Source organism: Homo sapiens, chromosome 16 (assembly GCF_000001405.40).
Source record: "Homo sapiens chromosome 16, GRCh38.p14 Primary Assembly".
Classification (NCBI taxonomy): Eukaryota; Metazoa; Chordata; class Mammalia; order Primates; family Hominidae; genus Homo; species Homo sapiens.
The window spans coordinates 62,747,017-62,769,821 of NC_000016.10; the positions used below are offsets into that span (position 1 = coordinate 62,747,017).

Consider the following 22,805-nt stretch of genomic DNA (forward strand, 5'->3'; position numbering starts at 1 on the left):
ATTGGTGGTCTGAACATATAAAACAGAATGGATAAGAAACCAGAGGGGTAAAAATGTGTTTTTTTTGGAAAATATTTGCCATCTATTTTGATCAGAGAATAGACATGTGGTTGGTAGCAACTGGAAATAAGGCAGAAAAGACTAAGTTCATACTTGGCAACACTATAGAAAGCAATATATATATGTGTGTGTGTGTGTGTGTGTGTGTGTTGGTGTGTGTATATACATAAAATATCTGTTACGCTAATTGCTGATATATATCATATATACTAATTATGTACTGATTGCTGATATATATATGTCACACATAAATATCTGTTACACTAATTGCTGATATTTACATATATATATATATCAGCAATTAGTGTAACAGATTAGATGGGCCTGTGGCCCTCTCCCTTGGAAAGCACATCTCTCCTTTAAAATGTTCATATTTGGTTCTTTGTGAGTTTCTATTCCAGGGAATCTGTTCTTCTCTGTCCTTTTTCTTATTATATACTCTAGGTTTCCTGTATAACTGATCTGAATAAAATCCTGCTGAAAGAACAGATTGCAAATGCCACCTTTAGCAGCACCAAACTCTCTAAGATTTGCAAAATTTCTATTTTCTGGTGACCAGCCAGAATGTATTTTATAAGTCTCCCCTCTTGATGAACAACAACTAATTTCTACTTCCCTTAGAAGAACAATTCTGTTCCTGAGGGGCAGGTATTAGAGCCAACATTGAGGGGAGCCCGGTATCTCAGAAGAAAAGAATTCCTTGCTAATTGTGGGCGTCTTTGCCGGAATAGCACTGTGCAATTGTGATAGGGGCCACAGAAATAAGAAAGCAAGGCTTTGTAATTCCCTAAACTTCAGGATTGAGCTACATCAGAGATTAAGGAAATTGCAGTAAATTTTATCAAAGTTTCTAAGCAGTGATGCAGTCAAGAGTTAATAAATTCATAGACTTGAGTTTTTGGTATGGCTAAATTTAATTATATGGTACATACAAGCATTCAATTTTATGAAGGTGAAAATAGGATACCTTGCAATAAAATGAACATTGGCATCAAAGTGTTCAAATTTGCAGATTTAATGTGCTTCAAAATAGCTTCATTTTATCACCATTCAACTGCAAAAAAAATCAAACTCATCTAGGAATTAATATCTAATATAGAGAATGACAACGTGAAGCTTTCTTTTCTATTTCAGAAGGCATGGGAAATGGGTGTAAGAATGATCATGTGAAATTTATTTGGTGACAGTTAACAGCCTCTCCCCAAGTGGTCTTTAAAATAAATAGATACACATCATTTAAGGTCTCTCTAGATTGAGAGAAGAGAGGTGCTAAATTACAAGAGAAACAACTCACTTTCCAGGCCTCTGACCTTCCTCCTTCTACCTCCCTCACGTTCTAACCTGTTTCTCTAATACCTGAAGCTCCAATTTTACCATATGCTCAAATAAACACCACACAATCTTTGAATTTTCAATCTATGTATGATCCAAAATAACATAACAAGCATATACAATATTTAAGATGAAATTTCCAATTTTACACCAGATTGAGAGGAAATTTACTGATACCTAGTTGGATGTGGCTAAGCAGAGCTCGTGAAGATTTCTTGATTATCCAGTTTTTTTCAATCGATGCAGACGGCCAAATCAAAGTTTCAGGCCAAATAAAATTTATCTTGAAGCCTCATTGCTTCACTGAAATTAACAGGATTAACCAGATAATTGGCAAAACTTTGTTTCCGTTCGTGGGATGTGAAATGGATTCAGGTGACACTGCTCTCCCAGGTGTATATTAGACACAGCTGGGATGCCATCTATGGTCCTCATTACCGTGTTATGTGGGTTACGGAAGCAGAATCTTTCTTTTCTGAGGAAGCATGGCATCGTTTTAAAGAACATATTTGTATCAGACTGTTTGAGGTTCCACCATTTATTGTAAGTCCTTGTGCAAGATTCATAAGCCCTTTGGTCTTAGTTTCCTCATCTCAAAAATAGGAAATAATTGTGCAAACCTAATAGGGCTGCTGTGACAGTAAAAGGTATCATCATTTGTAAACCATGTGGTATAATGTTTTAGATGCAGTCAACTCCCAATGTATGTTGTTGTTGTTGATATATACTCTTTGTTACTATTGCATTAATATTAATACACCTGTGAATTCTAAGCTTTGTCACAGATTCCCAAGTTCCCCACTAATGATGGATGAATGATTTGGGGGTACCCAAAGCATAAACCAGTGGACTGACTGTTTTGTTGAGTGGCCATTGGCTAATTCAGAAGAGTAAGTTAATAATTTTAAAATGAAATTAAATATTAACATTATGTAACTTGGGCAATTCATTAAGTATTTTTTTCTTATTAAAAAAGGTGTACAAGTCCAGTTAGCACTTCAGAAAAGGTAGATAAAACCTATTCCATATTTTACCAGTTTGGGTTGGGATAGATCCTATTCTCTCTCTCTCCCTACACACACACACACACACACACACACACACACACACACACACACACACACTCTGTTAAGCTTAACAATATATTATGGACATCTTCCCCATCATTATACATTTCACTCTTGAACAACACAGAAGTTAGGGGCACCAATCTCCCATGCAGTTGAAAATCTATGTATAATTTTTGACTCCCCCAAAACTTAACTACTAATAGCCTACCATTGACCAGAACCCTTACCAATAACAGTCAATTAACAAATATTTTGAATGTTATATGTATTATATACTGTAGTTTTATAATAAAATAAGCTGGAGAATATAAAATGTTATTAAGGAAATCAAAAGTAAGAGAAAATATATTTACTATTCCTTTAGTGGAAATCTATAATCATAAGTCTTCATCCTCATTGTCTTCACATTAAGTAGGCCAAGGAGGAGGAAGAAGAGGCAGGTTTTTTTTTTTTTTTTTTTTTTTTTTGCTGTCTTAGGGGTGGCAGAGGGAGGAGAAAGTCCACATGTAAGTGGATCCACGCAGCTGAAACCTGTGTTGCCCAGGAGTCAACTGTAAACATACACACATACAAACACATACACACATAAACTTATCAATATATTATGGACATCTGTCTGATCATTATATATTCTTCTATAATAGAAGTTTAATTTTTAATAGATAACAGAAATAAATATAGCAATTTTGACAGGAAACAATGTGGAGCGCTATGTTGAAAACAAAAATCGTCGTCAGCTTTCTACCATTTTATTTTCAGACTAGAGAGATCAAAGAAGAACTCATAATATTACCTTGGCCAGGACCACTCCATGAGCATCTTCCATCCCTTTGTGTTTATTCCTGCTTTATGTGTTTGACAGAGAGGCATGAGTCTCTCTGATGCTGACTCTTTCAAGAAACACACCCATTCCTTCAATTAATTTATGAGTTATTCAGGACCTTGTAACAATTATTAATTCTGTTAATGCTAGATCTTGATTTTTATGTATATGTTTATCACATTCCCATTCAAATTAATGTTCATTTTCAAGCTATAAAGATAAAAAAACTCAGGGCTTTCTGACTTATTGAAGATGAAAGGCCATATATATGAACTATCTATGGAGATGTTGTTTTCTTGCTAGCAACACTTACTATCACTGCCTTATCCATCCCTTCTCTGACTTTGGCTTAAGGATAATGCTTTTTCCTCCTCCTGGAGATTCTACTTGGTTACCTCTGCTTTTCCTGATGCATCCAGTGAGACCCACAGATTACAAACCAAACTGTGTTTTTTTTTTTTTTCAGCACAAATCTATTCATTTGTTTTTCACAATTGAGGAAATATGAATATACAATACCCACACTACATAAGCAAGTTTCAAATACATCTACATGTGTATCTGAAATGGATCTGGAAAGCAAACAGGGTAATGCTGAAAGAAAATCTTAATGAAATTTTTCTGTTTCTACTGAGGATTAATGAACACATATTTGACGAGTATTTGACCACAATTGCTATGTCATATCGAGATTTTGCAGGATACATTAATAATCAAGAAGTGTTACAGGATTTTTTTTCTCTTTAGAATCATTCCCTTTATATTTTGAATTAAGGCTTGAAATTTCTTTGTAGTAATGCAAAATATTTAGACTTTTAAAAATTTGCCTTTAATTTGAGAAATGTAAATCTGAAATTCTAGGTGTTCCTGAATTGTGATGTTATTGACAATATAGTTACTCTAATTCCAATGGTCAATTGAAGTTAAAACCTAGGGAATAAAAAATAAACTGAATTTATGTCTTCTAGATGGTAAATAGTCTTTGATATATTTCATAAAGGGAAGAATTTACAGTACTGAAGAATATACTGCACATAATATAGAACTATCTGTTGCTTTCATAGTTTAGAAATTCGGGGCTCAGGGAAGTCCAGTGATTTGCCAAATATTACTCTGCCTTTTAAACCACAGCTGAGTTTCAGTTCTGTTTTCTACTATGTGTCTATGGGGTTTTTATTTGTCTCCATCCTATGATTGAACTAGTATTTGTTAATAGTTAATATTTAAGTAAAAACTCAACATCTACATGGATCTAGAGGGGAATTAAGGAGTTGCTGTCATTGGTGTCAACATTTTAGTGGAGGAGGACATTCTTGGCATTGTCCCAGATCAGTTCAAGAGCTCCGGCTTGTTCCATGTGGTCCTTCTTTGGACAGGTAAACATCTCTGTTCCACCCCGCCTGCATCATCTTATCTTACCAGATTGTCATGAGGATATCACGAGGTGGCTTAATAGCCCAGTAGAGGTATGAAGCTAGGGGTTCAAGAAGTAGGAGAAGAAAAAACATACAGCTGTCAATACAGTAGTATCCCTGCATACCTACTATAATATAATAGCTATCATGCTAAAGATAAAACATACCACATGCTGGAAAGTATATGGAGCAACAGAAACTCTTATGCACTGCTTTCAGGAGGCGGAGTGGGTAGCTGTATATATAACTGGTATAACTACTTTAGAAGGGCATTTGACAATATCTACCAAAGGTGAACATTTGCATCCTGTAGAACTTTTAAATGCAGCCATAAGGTTAGAGCCAAAATAAATGGCAGAAAAAACAAAGTACTAAAACATTCACAACAGAAATAGAAAGAACAGGCCTAACCTAAACACTAATAACATACCTTCAAAAGTGAAATGTATCATTAGTTGGTGACACATTCACACACTGAATTGCTATACAGCAATGATAATCAAAAGTCTATGACACACAATATGCACAAATTTTGAAACAACGTTGAGCAAAATACACCAAAGAGCATATCGTAGGTTTCACTTACGTAAAGTTCAAACACACACATTTATCTATGACGCTAGAAATCAGTACGGTGATTATCATTGGCGACAGTGGAATGAATAATAAATGGAGGAGACATGAACCGTCTGAAGGCAGGTAATTGTCTTTTAGTTAAATTGGAGTGCGGATTAAAAGGTGCATTTCCTTTGAAAATTCATTGATTACATTATGACTTCTGCACCATTTTATTTTTAATTTGGGAAAGTATTTTTTAAATGTCTTCACACTTTAATTTATTTAAAAGCTAAGTGACTGTTTAAAGCAACAATAATAACTATGGATTGTGTGGTTAATAAAATTTCTAACAAAAACATCGCAATGCAGCTATGCTTATTCTCTATGCTTATTTGGACAACATTAGCTCTATTTGTACTACACGAAGAAGTATTCGTTGATCTATTTATTTTCCATTTCTATATTTCATGCCCTGGATTTAAAGTTACAATTCACTCTTTTAACTGATTTCTGATTATATATATTTTTTCCTCTGGCATCCAGGTTTTTTTGTTTTGTTTTTGTAGGTCTATCGGCTGTTCAGACCTCTCTCCTACCAGGTCTCTGGCCTTCCAGGCAGGCAGCCTATTTCTCCATTTTCCCACCCACTGCCAATCAGTTCACCGTCAATTCTCCTGCTTTCCATTGTCATGGCAGAGTGCAGCTTTCAGAGCCCGCCATGTTGGCAGCCTTCAATGCTTCTCCCTGGGGTTTGCAATCTCATTCCTGTGATGGCCTCAGGGCCTGCCAGGCCTGGGTCATTTCCAGCGCCTCTCCTGTGAGAGGTTCCCTCCCCCAGCATTGTCCAGAGGGTTTGTATTATGATTATGGGTAATGGGCTTTCCATCCTTCAGCTGTCAAAAGCTCTCTCTGCAGTTTATCCCCACTGTCTTTTAATTTTCACTTTTTAACTGAAAGCAAAATGAAACAAACAAGAGGTTTATAATCACCTCAATTTAACATTTGGAATGACAAAAAAAAAGAAAAGAAAAATAAATCGGCAGTATCTGAGTGCTTTTGAAAGCCTCAGCTGCCTGTTGGCTTTTCCTGTTTTGTTCTATTTTCCTCTTTACCTCCTTCCTCATACCACCCTCCTCTTTCCCCCTTCCTGGAGTCTGAGAACTGTCCACGTGATGATAGCTTTCAATACCACTCACCAGAGTCATTTAACCATGGGTTTTAACCTCTGGTTTGTAGCAGCTTGGTGCACCATTAAATCAGTAGTCTTGTTGCAGCACCAGAAAGAGTTGAAGAGCTATTAAATTCAACATAATTGTTTTGGAAATGGTGATTGCATGCCGTACCCACTGGTTTAGTCATAGTTAAGAGAGCACTAATCTATTTTTCCCCTGCAACCAAGTGTTTTGCAAAACTTCATAGCTTGGCATATTCCATTACCCAGACCCCTAGATAAGAGTTTCCTGTGAGAAAATTTATAATGTGTTCCTTGTACTTTAATCATGAAATATAAATTCAAATGCACATGGAAATGGACCCTTAAAACTGGACCTGAGTGTCTATTTTGCCTTCGGCTAACTATCCAAGATTCCTTTTAAAGCAAAATGCCTTGACCCCGTGGCTAGAATTTTGGTGAGGGGCAATTTTAAGAACTAGATAACAATAATTATGGCAAGTAGCTTCTAATATGGCCCCAGTGACTTCCAGTTCTCAGAATTCACAATCTGGTGCATGCTGTTCACTTGAATATGGATTGGACCTAATGAATTGCTTCTAATAAATAGAATACCAAAAAAAAAAAAGATGTAATATCACTTCTGAAATTAAGTTACCAAGAGACTGGCTTTTTTTCCTGGGCATCCACTCTTGCTTGCTTGCTCTGAGGGAAGCCAGCTGCCATGTCATAAGCTTCCATATGGAGAGTTCCACCTGATGAGGAGCTGATGGTATCCCCGGAGTTTACAGGTAACCAGGAAGTGAGGCCTCACTGTAATTGCCCTTGAGGAACTGAATACTGTCAACAATAATATACACAAGCTTGGAAGTGTATGTGCCCCAATAAAGCCCTGAGATAACTGTAGCCCAGCCAGACATTTTGATTGTAGCCCATCTAACACATCTCCACTGGAGGACTCAGCTAAACCACACCCAGATTCCTAATCCACAGAAGCTACGAGATCATGTGTTCATTGTGTTAAGCCACTAAGTTCCAAGATATTTATTATATATTAATAGATAACCATTACAATGATAGTAATAAAAATTATTACCATTGTTTACATTGTTTCTTATGGTTTAACATTCTTTTAAAAATATATTACTACATCTTCAAAACAAAGATATACAATAGGTATTATCGTTTCCACTTATTTCTTTTTTTTTAAGATAAGAAACTGAGGCTCGGAAATATTAAGCAGGTTACCAGTGTTCACTCAGCTTGTGAAGTGGCGGAGTTTGTGTCAGAACCCTAAATGATAACTCTAAACCTTGTGTTCTTCCAAAAGAAAAGTGCTTTGTAAACTGTACAATTTATTATAAATGGGAGTTTAAAATGCCAAAGATTAGACAAATAACACTTCTAACAATAGGGCTTCATGTTTAGAATGTAATACTCTGAAACCTTTGATAATGCAAATTTCTTAGAGAAAGTGCTACCATTTTAATCCCATGAATTCCTGGCATCTCAACATTAGGCAAGAAGAGTTCATATGAAGGGAAGAGGGAGAGAAAGAATTTGAAGTCTTAGCTTACCAAATAAGGATGAAGAGCAAATAAAGATTCAAAAAGTTTGTGAAAACCATGACATGTCTCACAAATTAAAGATGGGTAATATTTCCAAACATCTCCTAATAATGAATCCATTTAAATTATGCCATAAATATTTTAAAATAATTATATGAATTAATAAATGACTAGCGGGTACTGCTAAAAGAAAGACGTGGTGATAATGTTTTACATAAAGTACTGGAAATTCTCTCTTTCTCTCTGTCACACACACACTTACTCATAGGATACCCAGGACATAGTAGATATTAAAAAAAATTACTGAAGCTGAACCTGAAATGTTTATTTCAGAAGGTTATATATTTGTAATGAGCCATAGGAATGTGTTGCATTACTTTGTTTTGTTCAAAATGGCTTGTGTTGCTCAAAATAATGCATTACATAGATGTAGATTTAATAATCACCATAGCAACCAAAATGTAAATCTTCCTTTGTATAGCCTCGCCATGTATTATTTTAAATACATTTAATCTTTAGAACCCACAGAGAGTTGATAGCTTGAGCCTTTGTCTTTTATTCACTCTAAGACTAATTTAAGAAGAGATATTATTTCTTTAGAGATGGAGATTGGGACTTAGATCAGTCTTCTATTGCTGTTGTAACAAATTACCACAAACTTAGTGGCTTTGAAAAACAAAAATTTATTATCTTGCTGTTGAGAAGGTCAGAAGTCTAAAAAGGGTCAACAGGGTTACCTTCCTTGTAGAGGCTCTGCTGAGGAATTGTTTTCCTTGACTTTTTCAGCTTCTAGAGAGCACCTGCTTTCCTTGGCCCTTCATCCCTTTCTAAATCTTCAAAGCCAGCACAATAGCATATTAAAATTTCTACCTCTCTGGTCTCTGTTTCTATCGTCACATTTCCTACTCTGAGCCTCCCGCTTATAAGGACTCTGATATGGTTTGGCTCTGTGTCCCCACCCAAATCTCATCTCAAATTGTAATCCCCATGTGCAGAGGGAGGGAGGTGATTGGATCCCCACGCTGTTCTCATGAAAGTGAGTGAATTCTCATGAGATCTGATGGTTTTCAAAGCAGCAGTTTTTTACCCTGCGCTCTCACTTCTCTTTTTTGCTGCTTTGTGAGGAAGCTGCCTACTTCCCCTTCCACCATGATTCTAAGTTTCCTGAGGTTTCCCCAGCCACGTGGAACTGTGAGTCAATTAAACCTCTTCTTTATAAATTACCCAGTCTCCAGTAGTATCTTTATCAGTGTGAGCACGGACTAATCCAGACTCCTTTGATCACATTAGGCCCATAAGAATAATCTAAAATAGTCTTCCTATCTCAAAATCTCTAACTTAATCATATCTGTAAAGTCCCTTTTGGAATGTAAGATACCGTATACACAGGTTCCAGGAATTAGGATGTGGATGTCTTTGGGGGCCATTGTTCTCTCTCCACGGAAACTACTTTGGTTTGCAGAGAGAACTAAGAAAAATAATTTTCTTGAGAAGTGTCTGTTCATATCCTTTGCCCACTTTTTGATGGGGTTGTTTGATTTTTTCTTGTAAGTTTTGTTTAAGTTATTTGTAGATTCTGGATATTAGCCCTTTTTGTCGAAATCCTAATGTAAGAACCCATGAAGAAAGAAAACAAAGGCTAATGTTTTTGTCTGACTCCTTGTTTCACCATAATGGTAGGGGGCTTACTGATGCTCTGGTTCAAACATGCCTGACTGGCTCATTCATAAATTCACATTCTCACATACTCAGTGTTACACACTGTCATCTTCTGTTCAAAGAAAATAACAAAATGAGTATGAAATTGTTATTTCTGTCATCTACAATTCCTCCAGCACTTTTCTGTACTCAGCATCTGATGTTGGGAATATTTTCTGACAGAGTTGTTTGAGTGCTTTAATAATCTTCAAAAAGCTTGGCCACCTTTGTCTTCAACTAATATTGTATGGCCTATTTGACTTTAAACAATAGCTTGAGAGAGATAGGAGACTGAAAAAGATGTAACTGATTTATGTTACATACAGAAAGACAAGGAAAGGACCCACAGATTATATATTTACTTCTCCTGAGGTTGGGAAATCCAGTTTCCTGATGGGGGAAAAAATTAAGTACTACTAGAAGAATCAAGCTTAAAACTTCATATTTCGGACTCTGATTTGTTTCTACCTTATAGCTCTGGGTAAAAATAACTTATGGTAAATAATAAAAAAAGTCTACTTGTAAGCTTCATTTTTATCCCTCACAAAAATAATGATCTAATGAGTTAAGAGATTACCTGGAGAATTCAGAATTTATTGACAGTCTGTTCTAATAAAGGTGATAGTAAACTCTTTTAAAAAGAGACCACAAATAAAAAAGTTTTAAAAAGAAACTTAAAAAAGCCGATGGTTTCCCTGAATGATCTCATTTTTATCAATAAAAGTTTAACATCTGCTTACAATAATATAATATTCAAGATACAAAAAAAGACCCAGAAAATTATTATTACTCTCTCTTTGATGTTTTACAACTAAGTAGGGAAAGTCAGAAAATCTAAGGGGGTTCCAAGTTCTGCCATTTATCTACATATATCTATAAGTAGGTTAATTAATATCTTGAAGTGTTGAGGTTTTATGTTTTTTTTAATCCATGCTGAAATTTACAGTTTCACTAGGAAATGCAGTGATTCACTCAGATTAGTTCCTTGGAGTGCTTTTGGCCAGGATTCATGCTGTTTAAAAACAACAACATAAAAAGTACCCATTCTGCTTTATTTTAAATTTAAATCAGAGAATATTACTAGTTTGATTATAGAATAGTCTCCAAGTCCCAAAAAAGAACCATTTTCTTGTATTTGAAATTAATAACTTTTATAGTTATTTAATCAAAAGGCCTATTGAATTCCAATGATGTGACTAACCCCCTGCAAAGTACCATAGGGGGCTGTAAAGAGTGGTATGTGGGCCTGATTTCAGAGAACAGCAACAGGGAAAATACACCAAATATTCTCCAGAAATATACAACGTGCTTAAGAGAAAATTATGGATTTCTGATTCGGTCACTTCTTAAATGCAGTAAAATTAGTAGCCTTCTCATTGTTTCTCCAACATGCTAAGCAATTTCTACCTAAATCATTTCTTCAACCAAGTACTAGTGAAAAGAAGCTGCTTTCAACTCAGAAAATTCTAAGTATCACTTTTCTGGTTAATTCCTTAGTATTTATCATAACTTACATGTTTTATTTGTAGCTTTTACTTTGTGCTGGACATTTTTGTAATTACAAATGTTAGCTCATTTAATTTTTTTATTATTCCTTTATGTATAATTTTAATTTGTGTTTGCCATGTTCCCACCACAACCTCTAATAAGAACTAAAAACATAGAGAAATCATGTCTACATTGAGTGTTTTGAGTGAGACCTAAGGGAGATTTTGGAGAAAAGTGAAACTATTACATGTTTAATTGTCTCATCTTTCTAAATCAGCTCAGTGAGGGTAGTGCCCATAAATCCTCGCATTACTTCTCCAGCGTCTAATATGGTATCTGGCACAGTATCTAGCAGTTAAATATATGTTTCTTAAGTGATAAAGCAAATGGATTTTTAATATACTTAACGTCATGTATTGCAGAGATACAGGATTATGTTTAAAAATAATAAATCACAAACTACGTAATGATATATTGGTTATCATTTTAAATAGTTTTACATTAATATTCATACAACAAGTGGTCACTAAATGTATTGTTGAACTGGGTGAACATCAGAAATGTGATCTTTAGGCATGAGGTACTTGCAATCTGGTTGAAATATAGATCCTATTCTACCCCACTGCAGTGGATACCATGATATACTGCCTAGCTACTTCTTCAAAAATTAAGGATTTATTCACCCAGTTGAAGTGTGTGTTGCTGCCAACAGACAGCCTTCAGCTTTCCACCATCTTTAAGGATTGCCTCAGGTAAGCCTCATCTCTACAAAGGTTCCAGTTCTTCCCAGGTCAGTCCTCCTACACTGACTGGCCTATATGGCCACAAGAAACTGGCCTTTTTTGTCAGTTCTTGGGCAACACTGAAGTGTTATCCCGGCGTCAGACCTTCTCCTGGAGACGGTGACTTCTGTTATACCTGAATCCTAGTCTGTCTGCTCTCTGGCCAATCCTGTGTTGTTTTCCCCCATTTTACAGGGAGGTGACTCCAAGATTGTTTTCTAAAAGTATCTGAGAAAGTAATTTTCATACTAGAGTTTGGTTTCGGGGAACTCAAACTACATTTGTTGCTGCCAGGGAATTTGGAGGAAGTAGGATCTAGCATGGAACTTTCCAGCTGGGTCACTTGCCAGCCAGCTGGCATTAAGGGACCCGTCACTGGCCGTTGAAGGAGCAGATTGTTTCTGGTAGAAGGGATCAATGCAATTGTCCAAACTTCGCCCACATTGAATTGGAATATTATACTAGTTTGAGCAAATGTATTAGCTCTTGAAATGTTTACAGAGGTTTGAACTATCGGAAAACTAGTAACTATAAAAACAGTAGAATTGTTCATTTTGATTGCTAATCTTGATTGCTTTGGAAAAAAAAACAACTTTGGGAGAATGATTAAGCAGTGATTAGAGGCTGTTTGGAACAATAATAGCATGAGGTTAGAATGTACATGAATATGAATAATGTTGAGAAAATCAAGGACAAGAACTCTTGGGATAGAATCACGTGGACCAGTGAAAGAGAGTGGACATAAAGTGTGAAGATCTTCAAATCACGTTTAGCACCCACCAAAATGATCTATTATAGAAAAATCACAAAGCAACTTGGTGAAATCTTTCTATACTTTTATGTGCAAGTTTACCTTGACAATAGGGCCTCTGCTATCACCACTCTCTTAGAAAATGTTTAATCCACCCATGGAAAATCCCTGATATCACTTCAAGTCAAGGACTCCACTTGATAGAAAAAGTGGTATGAGGCCTTTACCATGTATGAGTTCCACAGGTCACATGATGTTCCACACTGCTCAGAAGCTGCCAATTGCCAGACTGATAGAATGATGGAATAGCCAGTTTAATGCACAAATGAGGCACCAATCTGGGGATAACATCTTGAGAATATGGAGAGTCATCCTCCAGGATATGGTGTACACTTGGAGCGTAGGTTCAGGAACCCAGGCATGGCTTGGCTAACCATCACTTCCACTTATCAGAAATACAATATCTGACTTAATTCTTATTCTTGAAATGTGGGACTCTAAAATTAAGGGTCCTAGTTTTTAAGGTGGGAATGCTTCCACTGGGAACACAGAGTCCTGTGGAAATACAAACTACAGCTTCCGCTTTGGTACTTCAGATTTCATGAAAGAGACTAGCACTCAAGAAGCAGAACTACCATCTTTACAGGGGTAATTAGTCCTATTAATAAAAAGAAGTCAGGGCTGCTGTTGGTGGTGGAATTGTCAAAATGAGGGCAGAATGAATGAATTTGGCACACACAAGTGATTCACTTGGGTGCCTCTTTGTACTCCCTTGCCTGATTTTGATAGTAATTGGACAAGTTCAATAACTTCTGCTTACAATGGATATGGTAAACATGAGCTTAAATCTGTCAAGCATATGGATCTGGGTTATGTCACTGGGGGAATCTGCTATGCCAGATGGGGAACTAGCTGAGTGTGGAAGGAGTGTAGAATGGCATCAGAGGTGAAAGAATAGTAGTTGCAACTCTGACAGCAGCTGTTGAGGAGGGATTAGAGTTCATTCTACTAGCCTCCCTCATAGGTTTTCCTAGGAATCCTGGGGCATCTGCTTCTAGAACTCAATTGAAAAGAGTCCCCTCCCTCATGGATATACTTCTATTTGACCATTACTTACCTGAGGATTAATCAATGTAAAAGCATTAATAACTTGCCCTCTTGAGCCAACTTGGGAGAATTCTGAGGGAGTCATCTCAGCTTCAAAGCTCCTCATATGATTGTCCGAGGCCTTTGTTGAGATTGCATAACTTCTTCCACTGCCCAATTCTGCTTTCTTCTATTCTCTTCTACACATGGTCACCCCCAAGAGCACTCTCTTATGAACCTCCAGTTCCTGGGGAACTCAATCTATGACATTCCCTTTCCATCAGAAAAATTACCCGTCCTCATCCCTCCACAGAGGCCATGTTTTTTTTTTTTTTTTTTTTTTTTTTTTTTTTTTTTTGAGACAGAGTCTTGCTCTGTCACCCAGGCTGGAGTGCAGTGGCGCAATCTCAGCTCACTGCAACCTCCACCTCCCAAGTTCAAGCGATTCTCCTGCCTCAGCCTCCAGAGTAGCTGGAACTACAGGCGCATGCCACCAAGCCCAGATAATTTTTTTGTATTTTTGGTAGAGATGGGGTTTCACCATGTTGGCCAGGATGGTCTCGATCTCTTGACCTCGTGATCTGCCCCCCACTCGGCCTCCAAAAGTGCTGGGATTACAGGCGTAAGCCACCACGCCTGGCCCACACAGGCCATATTTTTAAGACTCAGTGTCTTTGAACTCTACCAACTTTGAATTTGAATATCTGAATCTTCCCTTCTTGTAAATGCTTCTACTCTGCTGATTGCATTAGTTATGACAGGTTTCGTGGCTCACTAAGCCAAAAATCCTTACTATTGGGTTACTTACAGGGAAAATTTGGCAAACCCTAATTCAGATCACACCCTTTCCATAGTCTTTCAATATTACCATAGATGGAAGGTGGAAGCTCAACATCTCTTTTCGTTTCATTTTGTTTTATAATATTGTGAATTTTTTTGTGTTTTTTAAATTCTGTTTTACAGTTAAAATATATCATTCACTTCCTTTTTTTCAAGTGCATAACAAATGAAATTACTTCTGAAACTTACTGTGTTTTTACATAATAGTATTGAACATCGATAGTATCAATAGTATTATTGAAATAATATAGCAAATCACTAGTATTGATTTAACATCAACTTTTAAGAAATAAAAGTGCTGTCTGTCTGTCTTGTCTGTCTTAATCCTTTTCCAAGTGAGGTGTACTTACAGACATATGGGAAAGAGAAATAATAAAATAACCAGTGTGATTGCTTCTGAGGCATATTAGCATAAACCATCAGAAGCTTGACTTTCTGTTTGCTAAACTGTTTTAGACAAGATAATTACATTAAAGTGCTTGGTATTTTCAAGTTATTGCATAATGTCGTGAGTCTTAGATGATTTTGTCTGGCTGTGCTCCTGATAGCCAAATCAATGAAAATGTACTGCAGTGAAAGGGGAAGATTTTGGAAGAAGTATGTGGGAGGTCTGGGAGGAACTTCCTTTTTATCTGGACTGTGGAAAGATTTTGCCAAATGTTACCAAAGGAAACAGAATGAGAAAAAATTTAGCGTTGCTCTTCTACTTACAAGAATCAGAGGATGACATAGAACTTTTTAAAAAATGAAATTTATTGTAAGATACTTGTGGTTAAAAATCTAAGACAGGAAATGGAAATCAGCTAGAAACTGAGTAACCTTTGTCTCTCTCTGTCTCTCTTATGGCATCTGATTCTGTCATCTGCTCTCTTCTCTCACCATGGTCTGGCATTTCCTTTATATTTTGGGTATCTTTTCCTACTTCGTGTCTGTTCACTTAATGGTTTCTGCTTCCTCGGGAGTGTAGCTTACAGATACATATTCCCACAATTTCACCTAATGCCTTTTCTGTACCCATGCCTTAATTTCTGTTTAGGTGTCCAATGATCTTGCTTTTCCCCACTCATTTTTCTCATGAAAGATCTCACCGAGAATCAGATGGGCCTGGCTAATTCTGTCATGCTAGAACTCCTTCTGGGCTGTTGCTCAGTTTATTTCATGGCTCTTCTGATCCTGTCTTTTGAAACATCAAATAATACATCTGCTGAGATTGTAGGTATATCATTATAAGGTCTTTATAGAATTTTCTCTGATTTAGGGACTATGGACAGAAAGCTATAAACAAGACACACCTGGTAAGATATTTCTTGCCAACCAATACTTTGACTTAGTTTCCCCTAAAAGCAGAACCTGAAATAAAGGCTTGAATATGCACTTTTTTATTTGGGGCATGACATACAGGGAGTGGGATTAAAGGACAGGGGGAGTAACACAAGAGAAGAGAGAAAGGCTACATACATTTGTGTTAAGGTATTGGTCATTGCTGTGGGTGACTGAAGGCTCTGTCAGCTGGCATCTTCTATAAGTTGCTTTTTGAAATATATCTTAGAATAAAATGCTCCAGAGACAAAGGGGTGGATTTATTCATTGTCTCCACTTGGTCATAGATAGCCCTGTGGGCATTAGCCTCCTACACTGTGGAGTACATATATGTGAGCAAAGAGCAGGTTCTGCAGGCGTCCCTTGCCATGGGATCAGAAAAGACCCCCCACATTAGGAAGGGAGAGGTATGCAGCACAGGCCAAGATGAGCCACTGTCTGATTGCATCTGTGCAATGCAGTTAGAGAACATGGCCACAATAATCTTGAAATGGTACACAGGATCCTTGCCATAGGATCAGAAAAGACCCAGATTAGGAAGGGAGAGGTATGTAGCACAGGCCAAGATGAGCCACTGTCTGATTGCATCTGTGCAATGCTGTTAGAGAACATGGCCACAATAAGCTCGAAATGGTACACAGGGAGGGTCCAAATCAATTGGTTTATATGTTCTATGTATAGAATACACATATTAACCTTGACCCTTGAATAGTCATTGAGTCCTCGCTCTCTCTTCTTACTGCTTCTATAGCTAGACCTCATCAATTCCTGCCTAGAATGTTTTAATCTTTTCTCTTACCCAGTCCCCATCTATTCACCATGTTTTTTCCAGAATAATTAAAACCTACTAATGTCATTATTATTATTGCTAATGTCATTTTTCTTATAATTTAAATAAATCCTTATTTTCTTTAGAAAACAAAGTTTACATATTTGCAAGGCACACAATGAACTTCTAATGCTGTCTTTGCCTGCCTCTTGTTGCATCTTTTCCCAGAATATCCTAATCTCTTTTCAAAACATGGTGCAAATGTCATTTCCTCTCCAAAACCAGACCCCCATTCTTCCATTATTTTTTGCATACCAGTAACATAGGCTACATTATGATAAAATCTGTCTTCATATGAGACTGTACACTCCTTTTGACTAAGGCCCAGATATTATTTTTAATTTAATTTAATTTATTACTTTGAGACAGTCTCGCTCTGTCACCCAGGCTGGAGTGCAGTGGTGCAATCTTGGCTCACTGCAACCTCTGCTTCCCAGGATCAAACAGTTCTCCTGCCTCAGCCTCCCAAGTAGCTGGGATTACAGGCATGCACCGCCATGCCTGGCTAATTTTTGTCTTTTTAATAGAGACAGAGTTTTGCCATGATGGCCAAGCTGTTCTCGAACTCCTGGCCTCAAGTGATCTGCCCGCCTCAGCCTCCTAAAGTGTTAGGATTACAGGCACGAGCCACCGTGCCTGACCCAGACATTATTTTTATATGTACCTCCAGCTTCTGGCACTATATGTGTTTTAGAGCAGGTGTCAATAATAAGTACTTGAATAAATGCATTAAAAGAAATTAAAATAATAAGTATTCTTTTATTCCATGTATTTTGGATGTGACTTCTAATTTTCCATACTGTAGTAATTTCTGTATAACCAGCTTTTATGGGTTCAGATGTTATGACTACCTTCCTTTGCTTTAGATGTTACCAAAAACTTCCTGGCAGTAAATGTAGTAGTTTATGTCTTCACAGCAAACTCTAACTACTCTAGTTTTGGGGGTACATCATTCTGCTGAGTAAGTTGAATTGCATTTTATACACTCAAGTTCGAAAAGTGCTGTTGGAGCAAATCTTAATTTGTATGTGAATCTGAATTCTTACCAAATGAAGTAAATGAGAAATATTGGTATATATTGTGATGTATTTTGTAAAAGCTAAACTCGATTGTATCACTCTAGGTCTGTATAAGAAATATGTTCAGAAATACCATTATGCTAATAAATAATCTCTGCTATATATGTAATATATAAATCTATATATAAGTGTGAACACTTGAAATATGAGAATAACTATAATAGATTCTAATTACTCTGAGTAATCAATTGTCTAACAGAATATAGTTTGAATTCACCTTCATATATAGGTTTTTAATTAAAACCTTTTTCCCCTGAGTGGAAAAACAATGTCTGCTTCCATATTTACTGAGTTCTACATCACTAGAGTTGTTCCAAGAATGTGCATTAGTGAATGTGCTAACATTCCTAGTCTGACAGCCAACCTTTATGGTTTTGTGCAAGTCACTTTGCTTCTTGACATCTCAGTTACTTTCTCCAAAACATGGCAGGAGTAACTTTACTAAATGAGACAAGGATGAGAAGTAATGTATATAAAAGTTCCTGAGGCATCAAAGTACTCAAATATAATATAAATAACAATATGCTTTTAATCATTTTTATTGTTTTTACTCCTAATTATTTTTGCTCTCAGTAGTGGTACAATAATAATAGAGGCTAAGTATTTTTTGGAAATATTTACAAGAGAATTCAAACGTCAGGTGCTTGATGGGACCAGATCAGTATCCCCAGTCCCATTAATGCTTCTGATAGGTAAACCATCTAACTTCCCTTCTGCAGAGTTGCAAATTATTGAAGGACAGAGAAAGGGAAGAAGAGACTATACAATAAAAATATAAGGGAAGGTGCAAAACGTTGAAGGAACAAATGAGAACCATATCAATATTCATAAAACCCTCAGGTGAGCTTTTGTTCTATCTATTCCCAAGGTTCCATGAATCTGTGATAAGAAGTTATTGAGAAAATTCCAGGAAATTTATTTTTACTTTTCTTTTTACCTCAAAAGTTATTATTTATTTCTACTTGGGTAAGTTCTAGAGTTATCCAACATCATGAGATCTGTCCAACCAATCAAATAGAAGACGTTAGATTTCAGATAGACAGATGGCTTAGGATACAACTACTTTTAAGAGATTATTTATGTTAATTTATGCATTAGTCTTTTCCAAGGGTACACTCAAAATATCGGAGTATTACACGCAAGCTAAAATGAGATTTAAGAAAGTAAAGGCAGGGGCAGATAAGGTAAAATAAAGGAAAATCATGAATATGCATGTTTGAAATAAATTCATCTTAAGCCTCTAAGCCTGGGTTGGAGAGGAAGCATTGCTTTTGTGACTTCCTTAAGAGCTGAGCAGATAAGATGAGACTACATTGCCTAACAAGAGGGACAGTGTTTTGGTCATTAAAAGAGCTAATTAGGTTGTTTCATAACCTAACTATATTCTTAAAGAACAAGCATGAACACAATCCGGTTTAGACAATATCAAAGTGCAGTTACATATCCTATTTGTAGTATGCCTAGAATAGATTCCACGATGAATCCTTGAAAATCACTGATGTTTGAGCTGTAATAGAATGGCAACTCTTCTCACAAGTTCTCTCAGAGTTCATAGTCATGTTAGGGATGCCTCACAGAGTAATTGAAGTAAATATCAGAAGTTTACCCAGAACACCGACTCTAGTTAATTTTCTTTCCCAAAAAGCGTACATACAGATGGCTTGTTTTCTTTGAGAAATCGAGCTTGAGGCAGAGTGAGATAAACTAATAAGCAGCTAAATCTCTTATTTCATTGATCCATTTCTTTCAATAATTACATCTTATCTTCAAAAGTACACAAAACAACATATGGAGTGCTCAAAATCAATAATGCTAAGGATATGAAAATAAACAGTTTGAGCTGACTTTTGTGTTTTGATGAGAGGCAAAAACTTTATTAAAGGGTAGCACTGGTGGGAATGGGATATTAGATATTAACAATACCACCATTCTTAGTCAAGTGTCTCAATATATTAGATAAAAAAGATTACATCTTATTTATAAGCATTCTCTCTCTATATATAAATACACGCACATATACTTGTACATATATGTGTGTATATATACATATACAAATGTGTATTTTTGCATATATTTACACAAAAATGCATCCAAATGTGTGTATTTAAAAATAAACTTTAGTTTTTCTCCTCATATGAGCTACATCATTTTCCTGTTACATAGAATTAATAACCTGAACTAGAGTCCTATCTCTGGGACTTTTCTAACCTTTCTTACACTTCACTACTCTGAAAGTAAGGAATTTACATCACCCTGAATTTGGATTCTGAAATTAATAGTTAAGAATTAATCATAAAGAGAATAAAATATCTTGAACGTGTTTCCAAAGCTGCATAGACATACTGAAGCTACTTAAATACAATATTAGTGAGAGGAAAAAGGAACCAAATGTATCTGTTTAACAATGAATGGTTGACACATCTTTTGGCTTTATGTTAAACCTAATGCATTGTGTCCTGATATCAAGATAAGAAGTTGGTAGATTCTTTCAAGAAAAAAGGGAGGGAAAAATAGATTTACTGCAACCAAATGTGTCTTATGAGATCGCAAATTAAAGAGACAGGCAAAAAAGGGTTGAGTAGTTAAGGACGTGAGATGCTCCTGGTGATGAGATTGGAGGCATTATAATGAGCACACATGGTATTTTGGGAAAGTGATGCAGGTAAATAAACACAGTTATCCTAGGCTCCTAATATGATGGGGAAATTCACAATGTCTGTATAAAGGTTGAGTACCCAAGACCATTACAACCTTTATACACAACTGCTGCATTCAAATATGCACCCAATACATCTTCTTTGTTTCTCTATTTTTGTCTCCATCCTAGAGGCTAGTGATAAAGAAGTGAACAAATCAAATTTATTTTTATCCTCACTAAGCATACATTTTTAGTAGTAAAAGAGAAAAAACTGAAATAAAGTGTCAAACTATGTTATTGTAAATCTAGCTAAATATTAAAAAGTGGAAAACACAGGAATGATGTAAATGATGACAATAAGATCTAGGTGGGATGGTTGGCAATGGTGTCTCTCAAAGGGAAGCAGGTATGATTCTCAATGAACTGTGGGGAAGAGCTGGCCATTGAAACAGCAGAAGGACAAGCATTCTAAGTAAAAAGATGGGAAGTGCACAGGTCCTGAAGCAGTAAAGAGTTTAGCCTGCATAGTGCATGTTGCAAGTGCCCTGCCCAGGTCTCCTTCATATGCTGGAACATTCATTTTCTAGCTCCTGTGATATTTGCTGACAATACACAGTTGCTTCCTTCTCTGCATAATTGTCCTTGGCCAAAGAGGAGACCCAAATGAGTACTTAGCTGACTCCATTGGAGCATCACTTGGTACATGAACAAGTCCAGCAAGCGTATCTGATCAGAACATGGTAACCAGCACCTCAGACTCCTCAGGGATGAGGGTCTAGATCTGCAGAAGTTCCAGCCTAGGAGGATTGAGGTATAGAACATGTGGCAGAGGAAGATGATAGGTTTCAGTAAGAGCTGTGGGAGAATTGCAGCATGGGATTGCAATTTGTAAATTATCCCAGGTTGTGACTGACTAGAGTGCTGGAGAAGCTGTGATTGTGGGGAATGAACTTAACATGAAAAGAAGTGGATACGAGCAGTACAAAAATTCTCCTGTGGAACGCACGCTTATATTTCCCCAATCCCCTTTCCTTGACTGGTGCAGCCTCACCCACTAAAGATGCTGTAAGTGTTGACTGCTAGCAGCTCATAACTGTTTATTTAAGGAATAGTACAAAAAATGGAATCAACAAATGGAATCAACCTGACCTGGTAAGTATCAGTCTTCCCTCACCTAAGAGCAAAGACATAGTCTATGACTAACTGAATTCAAGAGGCTGGCCCCATTATCTCAAGGTAGAAATAACTCTGTGGTGTAATTTGTGCCCAGAATTTTTGTGGAATTATTAAGAAGGTAGTCTTCATCTGAGACCAAATTACTGCTTAATTCTTTCAATCTGATCTATCTACTTTTCTCATATTTTTCCCCTTTAAGCACGCCTTAACATGTATGTCATATCTTTTCCCCTGTAAGCACACCCTAACACATTTCTTTATCATGAAAACTCATTGTAACTTCTGTTTCAGGAAAGCGACTGAAGACAGAGTGTTCCAAGAACCAAGAGAATGAATGTGGCTGATGTGTGGAGAGAAGAGATGGACCAAGATGAGACTGGAAAGGTAAACTAAGGAAATGAGATAATCCCTTTAAATTTCATTTTGTAAGCAAACAGAAATATTGAAAGGATTTTTGATGACAGAGGAGAAGGCAGAGTGCATTTTGTAATATTAAACACACACACACACATACACACACACACACCACACACACACACATTACTTGTTTCTTTCTGCAGAGAATTGATCTGAGTTTGACGAGTAAGCAAAGTCCAGACAAAAATGTGGTTAAAAGAACCAGAAAACAAATAAAAGTCTGAGGTTCCATCTTTGATTGATGCCTGTGTTTGAGTTTCACCTTACTACCTCTTTGGAAGGGGCATAGTAGAATCATAACTGCTAAAGTTTTGTAATGATGCTCACACCAAGTCTCTTCCTGCAAAATGTTAGAAAACACTTGGGATAAGACAGAGTGATTTCAATAAAAAATGATATTGCTTCCACTAACATTAAATGTTAAGGTGAAAAGGGTCCATAGTGATGGATCATTATTTCAAAAAGGAAAAAAATAATATGAAAAGGAATAGTGGTTCCTCTTGATGTATAGTATGCCTGTATTATGGTTTTATAAAATTGTGAACTTGTGTAATAATATAATAGGAGATACTGTTGAATTTCTAACTGTTTATACATTTAAATTCATATATGTTATGTTCATTTTATCAATCACAATCTGAATTTCTAAGAAGCACGTTGACTTTTGCAATAAAGATGCAATATGGAATGGCTCACAATTGGAA

The 22,805-nt window shown here is 36.4% G+C and overlaps 1 long non-coding RNA gene across 2 annotated transcripts in view; it reads left to right on the forward strand.

The window, feature by feature from the left end:
* The window catches only part of LOC102723560 (uncharacterized), a 110,046-nt gene that overhangs the window by 21,360 nt on the left and 65,881 nt on the right, over positions 1–22,805 (forward strand). For both annotated transcript variants that reach the window (XR_933663.3, XR_933661.3), the window contains exon 3: positions 21,976–22,068. This is a non-coding gene — a long non-coding RNA (uncharacterized LOC102723560). The remainder of the gene's footprint in view (positions 1–21,975; positions 22,069–22,805) is intronic.